Source organism: Homo sapiens, chromosome 9 (genome assembly GCF_000001405.40).
Source record: "Homo sapiens chromosome 9, GRCh38.p14 Primary Assembly".
Classification (NCBI taxonomy): domain Eukaryota; kingdom Metazoa; phylum Chordata; class Mammalia; order Primates; family Hominidae; genus Homo; species Homo sapiens.
Genome location: NC_000009.12, coordinates 111,482,335 through 111,488,334, shown reverse-complemented (window position 1 = coordinate 111,488,334; position 6,000 = coordinate 111,482,335). Strand labels below are relative to the sequence as shown.

The 6,000-nt window shown below is 51.5% G+C and overlaps 1 protein-coding gene across 10 annotated transcripts in view, besides 3 other annotated features; it reads left to right on the top strand.

The window, feature by feature from the left end:
* Positions 3,853–4,392: a silencer, noted in NCBI's record as "silent region_20179". NCBI's record gives its function as "represses an Ori minimal core promoter by ATAC-STARR-seq in GM12878 lymphoblastoid cells {active_cell/tissue: GM12878}" and the evidence as "EXISTENCE:reporter gene assay evidence [ECO:0000049][PMID:35858748]".
* The window catches only part of ECPAS (Ecm29 proteasome adaptor and scaffold), a 123,699-nt gene continuing 121,650 nt past the window's right edge, over positions 3,952–6,000 (top strand). For 3 of the 10 annotated variants that reach the window (NM_001363756.2, NM_001364929.1, XM_047423106.1), the window contains exon 1: positions 3,952–4,219. In NM_001363756.2, coding sequence (NP_001350685.1) covers positions 4,198–4,219 — 22 coding nt within the window. In that variant the 5' untranslated portion in view covers positions 3,952–4,197. Of the gene's footprint in view, positions 4,220–4,277; positions 4,351–4,772; positions 4,832–4,933; positions 5,027–6,000 lie in introns of those variants that run through there. The other 7 variants (XM_047423107.1, XM_005251853.4, XM_047423108.1 and 4 more) reach the window with 3 other exon arrangements.
* Positions 4,513–4,632: a silencer, noted in NCBI's record as "silent region_20178". NCBI's record gives its function as "represses an Ori minimal core promoter by ATAC-STARR-seq in GM12878 lymphoblastoid cells {active_cell/tissue: GM12878}" and the evidence as "EXISTENCE:reporter gene assay evidence [ECO:0000049][PMID:35858748]".
* Positions 4,903–5,322: a silencer, noted in NCBI's record as "silent region_20177". NCBI's record gives its function as "represses an Ori minimal core promoter by ATAC-STARR-seq in GM12878 lymphoblastoid cells {active_cell/tissue: GM12878}" and the evidence as "EXISTENCE:reporter gene assay evidence [ECO:0000049][PMID:35858748]".

Sequence of the window (6,000 nt, the reverse complement as noted above, 5' to 3'; positions counted from 1 at the left end):
GGATTACAGGCGTGAGCCACCGCACCCGACCCAGAATTTACATTTTGAGTTCTTATATGTTCATTTATTTATGATTTTATTGTACAGATGGGGTCTTGCTATGCTGCCCTGGCTGGTCTCGAACTCCTGGCTTCAAGTTATCCTTCCACCTCACCCTCCTGAGTAGCTGGGATTACAGGTGTGAGCCTAGCTGCTGTTTCTTCTTTTTTTTCTTTTCTTCTCTTCTCTTCTCTTCTCTTTTCTCCTTCCTTCCTTCCTTTCTTTTTTGAGACAGGGTCTCACTCTGTTGCCCAGGTTGGAGTACAGTGGTGCCATCTCTGCTCATGGCAACCTCTGCTTCCCAGGCTCATGCAATCCTCCCATCTCAGCCTCTCCAGTACTGGGACCACAGGCGTGCACCACCACACCTGGTTAACTTTTTGATTTTTTGTAGGGACCATGTCTTGCTAGATTGCCCAGGCTGGTCTTGAATTCCTGGCCTCCAAGGATCCTCCTGCCTCACAGCCTTCCAAAGTCCTGGGATTACAGATGTGAGCCATTGTGCCTGGCCCAGCCTAGCTTAATAATTTGTATGCTTCTTTGTTTTTAGGTGTCTGTTAGCACTTGTCATCCATGTATCTGCCCAGAAGAAGAATGCTTTCAAATATTTTGCTTTAACGCTGGAAACAAGATTTTTAAAAATCTTGTTAGAACTGTATATGTGTTTGATGTGAAGACAGCCTACATGAGAGGAGAGGGGACAGGTTTTTAGTTCTTGGATTCTATGATATCCTATTTTGGTTTCTCAGTAGCCTCTTCTCTGGCTCCTGTTTTCCTCCTCACCCCAATTCCTTCTTGCCTCTGTTTTTGACAGCTGAAGTGAATTCTAGACAGGAACTATCTCAAGGCTGCTGTTATTCAAAACCTAAGTGTTTCATATGAACATGAAGCTATTTAGTGGGAAAAATGAACTACAAGTAGTTTGATGGAAGAAGCAAGTATAAAAAAGCTTAGAGCTTTACACAGTAGTGATCAGAAGTAGCACTGTAAGTTGCTATAAACTACTGTATGTAATGAGACTTTAAGATCTTTTTTTGCCTAACAATTCCACATCTACATCTAGAAATATGTGATTACATAAAGATATGTATAAGAATGTTTTACAGTAGTATTGTTTAGTAAAAAACTGTAAACAACCTAACAGCTCATCAATAGGGAAATGGTTAAATACATTTTGTTGGTACTTATCATGCAGCCATTTAAAAAAAAAATGAGGCCAGGCACAGTGGCTCACGCCTGTAATCCCAACACTTTGGGAGGCCAAGGCAGGTGGATCATTTGAGGTCAGGAGTTTGAGACCAGCCTGGCCAACATGGTGAAACTCCATCTCTACTAAAAATACAAAAATTAGCTGGGCGTGGTGGTACATGCCTGTAATCCCAGCTACTCAGGAGGGTGAGGCAGGAGAATCGCTTGAACCCGGGAGGCGGAGGTTGCAGTGAACTGAGATCGTGCCACTGCACTCCAGCCTGGGGGACAGAGCGAGACTCCCTCTCAAAAAAAAAAAAAAAAAAAAGAGGTAGTTCTGTACATACTGATCCTAGTGATTAAGCAAGCTGACTCTGAATCCACACTGCCCAGGTTCAAATCCCAGCTCCACCACTTACTTTCCAGTTTGTGGCACATTAGATGTGTTCCTCAACCATCCAGTGCCATAAAAATCCCTATTTCATAAGATTGTTGTGGGGGTTAGATGAATTCATCCAAGTAAAACACTAGAATGGTGTCTGGCATAATTATTATTCCATTAGCCATTATTATCATTACTGATATGAAAGGACACCTGTAATACATTATTTGGTGAAAAGATAACGTTACATAATATGGGAAGTAGAGTTCCATTTTTGTCAAAACTAACAAAAATCTGTGTACACACATTCATGTGATTTGTACACGCAGAGAACCTGGAATTTCTTCATAGGAGGAACTAAGGATTTGTTAACTAGTCTTGCCTGGAGGTTAAAATTGCCTAACGGCCAGGCATGGTGGCTCACACCTGTAATCCCAGCACTTTGGGAGGCCGAGGTGGGTGGATCACCTGAGGTCAGGAGTTGGAGACCAGCCTGGCCAACATGGAGAAACCCCGTCTTTACTGAAAACACAAAATTAGCCGGACGTGGTGACGCATGCCTATAATCCCAGCTACTCGGGAGGCTGAGGCAGGGGAATCGCTTGAACCCAGGAGGCGGAGGTTGCGGTGAGCCGAGATCGCGCCATTGCACTCCAGCCTGGGCAACAAGAGCGAAACTCCGTTTCAAAAAATAAAATAAAATAAATAAATAAATGAATAAAAATAAAATAAAATAACAAACCCATTGTTTTTTACTCAGATTCTGTATTTATCTGGGGTGGCTTTGGAAGGATCCATTTGAAATTATGGGAAGTCAAATTTCCCCAAACCAGTCTTTGGTGCAGCTACTTTCTATAGTCACGGAAACAGTAAGGAAAGGTTGAATGCACCAAACTGTTAATAGGGATTATTTATGGGCATGAGTGGGATGAGGGGGGATGGTGGGTATGCAGTTGGGAGAAGACCTGTATACACCTCTCTATTGTTTGTAAGTAGTTCATTGTGTATTTATTTTGGAGGCAACATCAAATAAAAGAGGAGCATACATGAAAAAAGGGGTTGGTTAACTTAGTGTAGTATGAAGTTACAAACAAAAAAGGGTGATGGTAGTGCAGTGTTTTGAATTAACATGGAACAATGTGTGTGAAGGAATAATTGATCCAGAACTTTATTGTAGAAACCTGTCCCCATCAAAGCCATACATGGGGCTGTATATATATGTCCAGAGAAAAGGTCTTCTGCACACTTAACTGTAACTGTTAGTCATAATTTCTCTGCAGAGTGGGATGGTGGGGCTAGGAGGAAGGACTTTCACTTTTAATTTTATGATACTCCAAATCATTTGCATTTTTTTTTTACAAAAATTATGTATAATTTTTCTTTTTTTTTTCTTTTTGAGACGGAGTCTCGCTCTGTCCCCCAGGCTGGAGTGCAGTGGTGCGATCTCGGCTCACTGCAAGCTCCGCCTCCCGGGTTCAAGCGATTCTCCTACCTCAGCCTCCCGAGTAGTTGGGATTACAGGCGCGCGCCTCCACGCCCAGCTAATTTTTGTATTTTTTAATTAGAGACAGGGTTTCACCATGTTGGCCAGGCTGGTCTCGAACTCCTGACCTCGTGATCCACCCGCCTAAGCCTCCGAAAGAGCTGGGATTACAGGCGTGAGCCACCGCGCCCGGCCCAAGATCATGTATAATTTCTATAACAAAAACAATAAAGGAAATAAAAATGTCTTCAGTGTTGTACCTTGTACTTGGCCTATGTTACAACAGGAATGACATATATTCCATTTTTAAGACATTACTTAGGGCTTTATAGATTTCTGCTTTAAGGAATAAATGCAATTTCAATCTATTTAAGACTTGATTTCTTCTTATATAAAAAAAGTATCTGATCTTGTATCTAATTTGTTATGACAGTACCATCACTTAAAGTACAGCAATTATGCAACCCCTGAATTTGAATTTCATTTTGCAAGTGTACATGACCTCACGGACAAAGCGAAGGCAGAAAGTTAAAATCAGCATATCGAAAATAAATCACTCTAGTTACCGAAAAGAACATAGGGTATCTGAACAAAATCTCAGAGCTCACATAGGCATAGATACTTCCATGTGAACTTTAGGAATCTTGCCTTATCTAACTTTTGCAGGGCTGAGTGGACCCCCTGCTCCCGCTAGCCGTTTTGGGAGCACCAGCCACCTCCACACCAGAACTGGGCTGTCGGGGGCCGCTGCGGCGCAGGGGCTCGTCCGGGACTGAGTCAGCGCCGGGGCCGAGAAGTTCGGCGGGAGGCGCAGGGCGGGGCTTCCTCCCGCCGACTCCGAGCCCGGCTCTACTTTTCTGAGTCCACGTCTCTTCCTTTGGACAGGCGTGTTTCCCCAGGTCGGGCCCAGCCAACGTGACAGCCGCAGACCTCGGAAAAGGGCGCTCCGGCCCCGCCTCGAGGATTTCCCCCGGCCGCTAGGGCAGCCCGGGCCCGCTCGGCCCAGCCCCTCACGGACTGCGGCGCGCGGCTCCCCGGGGCCCGGCCCGCCGAACGCCTCGCTCTACAGCCCTCACCTCGCGGCGCCGAGCGCAGCGTCCGCGGCATGGAGACCGGCTCCGACTCAGGTCAGAGGCCCGCCCCCGGGCCGCGGGGGACTGGCCCTGCGCGCGCGGCGGCGCGGTTAGGCCGGGCCGCCCGCACAGGCCGCCGCGTGTCGAGTCCGCGCGGGGAGCGCACGCGGGGCGGGCGGCGACAGGTGGGCAGGACGAGCCGCGAGCGAGCGAGGGCGGGCGGGCGCGCGAGGGGCCCGGCGGGGGGGCCGCTGGGAGGATGGCTCAGCTCTTTCTAAATATAAAACCGGCGTGAGTTGGGCGAGCGCGGCGCGGAGTCGCAGAGCCGCCGCGCGGGCCTGGCGCACGGGGATTCGGCCGCACAGACGGCGGCGGCGGCAGCGGCAGCGGCTCCGCAGAGGCGCGAGGCTGCGGGAGCGCCCGAGTCGCGAGCTCGCGGGGGCAGCGAAGGGCGACGCTCGCGACGCGGAGGACGCAGGCGGCGGCGGCGGGCGGGCCTCGGGGCACAGCGCGGTCCGCGCCGAGTGAACGGAGGCGGCTCGCGGCCCCTGCCGCACCGCGAGCCGCGAGCCCCCCGGCCGCGCCCTGCCCCCCCAGCCCCTCCCTCGTTCCCTCCCCGGCGCAACATGGCTGCGGCCGCCGCCTCCGCCTCCCAGGATGAGCTGAGTAAGTGCCGCGGCCGAACCTGCGGCCGCGAGCCGGAACGGGCGCCGCGCGGTGCCGGGGGCCGGCGGCCGCATGAGGGCTGGGGCGCCAGGCCCGGTGGGCGGGCGGCGGCCGCGGCGTACGGGGAGCTGGGGAGCCCGGGCCTGGCGGACGGGCGGGGCGCGGACCGTCGCCGCTGGCGTTTGTAGGCCTCAGGTTTGCACCGTCACGTTGCGAAATTGAAACCGGAGCCCCGGGCGGAGCCACCTCTGCCCGCGATCCGCCCTGGCCCGGGGTCGGGGGAGCCCAGCCCCCTGCCCACTGAGCCTCGGCTGGCGGGAGGGCCGGAGCCCCGGGGTGACGGGCAGTGTCCGCCCGTCCCGTCTGACCCCGCCTGGCCCCGGGTCCCCGACGGCTGGTTGAGTTATAGAAATGGAGCTTTCGGGAAGGGGGAGAAGGTGCCTTTTTGTGACACTCTAGTAATCAGCCGAAAGGTCACGAATAGGCGGTGACCCTCAGATGGAGCAGGGAGGGCGGAGAGGGTCGCCGGTCGAACCGCAGGAGAAACCACGGGGTGACAGCGCTTTCAGAAAGGAGAGTTAGTGCCCCCTCGATCGTACGCGGTGCAGCCTTCCCGGGGACGGCGGTCCCTGTCTGGGGAGAGCGGTGGTCACCCTGAATCCCAGGCCGCCCCGCCCGCCGCCGGGGTTCGCCTCAATGCTTTGTGGGAAGTGTAGTTCCGGGGCGCCGCGGACCCACGCTGGGGTCATAAATACCGAAGTTTCATAGGACATAGGACATGTGAGATAATTTCTGATTGCGTTTTGAGTGTTCTCCCCCCCAAGGGTTTTCTTTCTTTCCCTTTTTTTTTTTCTCCCAATGCTGCCCTTCAGTTTATGGCAAAAACAAGAAAGGTGTTATTTGAAGATGATGTGGGTTTTAAATGGAATAAAGCATGGGTGAGGTGTTGCAAGCTTTATGAAGCTTACGTTGTTAAAGCCGCTTCTGAATTTCCATATGAAAGTAGTTATACACGTAATGTATGTTTTTCTGGTGCTTGTCAGTTTAAAGCCACTTTTATATACATGATCTCACTTTTGCCCTCATAGCAACCTTGTGAGGCAGATAGGTAGGAATTATCCTTGTTTTAAAGAGGAGGCAGGTTTGGAGAGATTAAGTTCCTTGCTGCT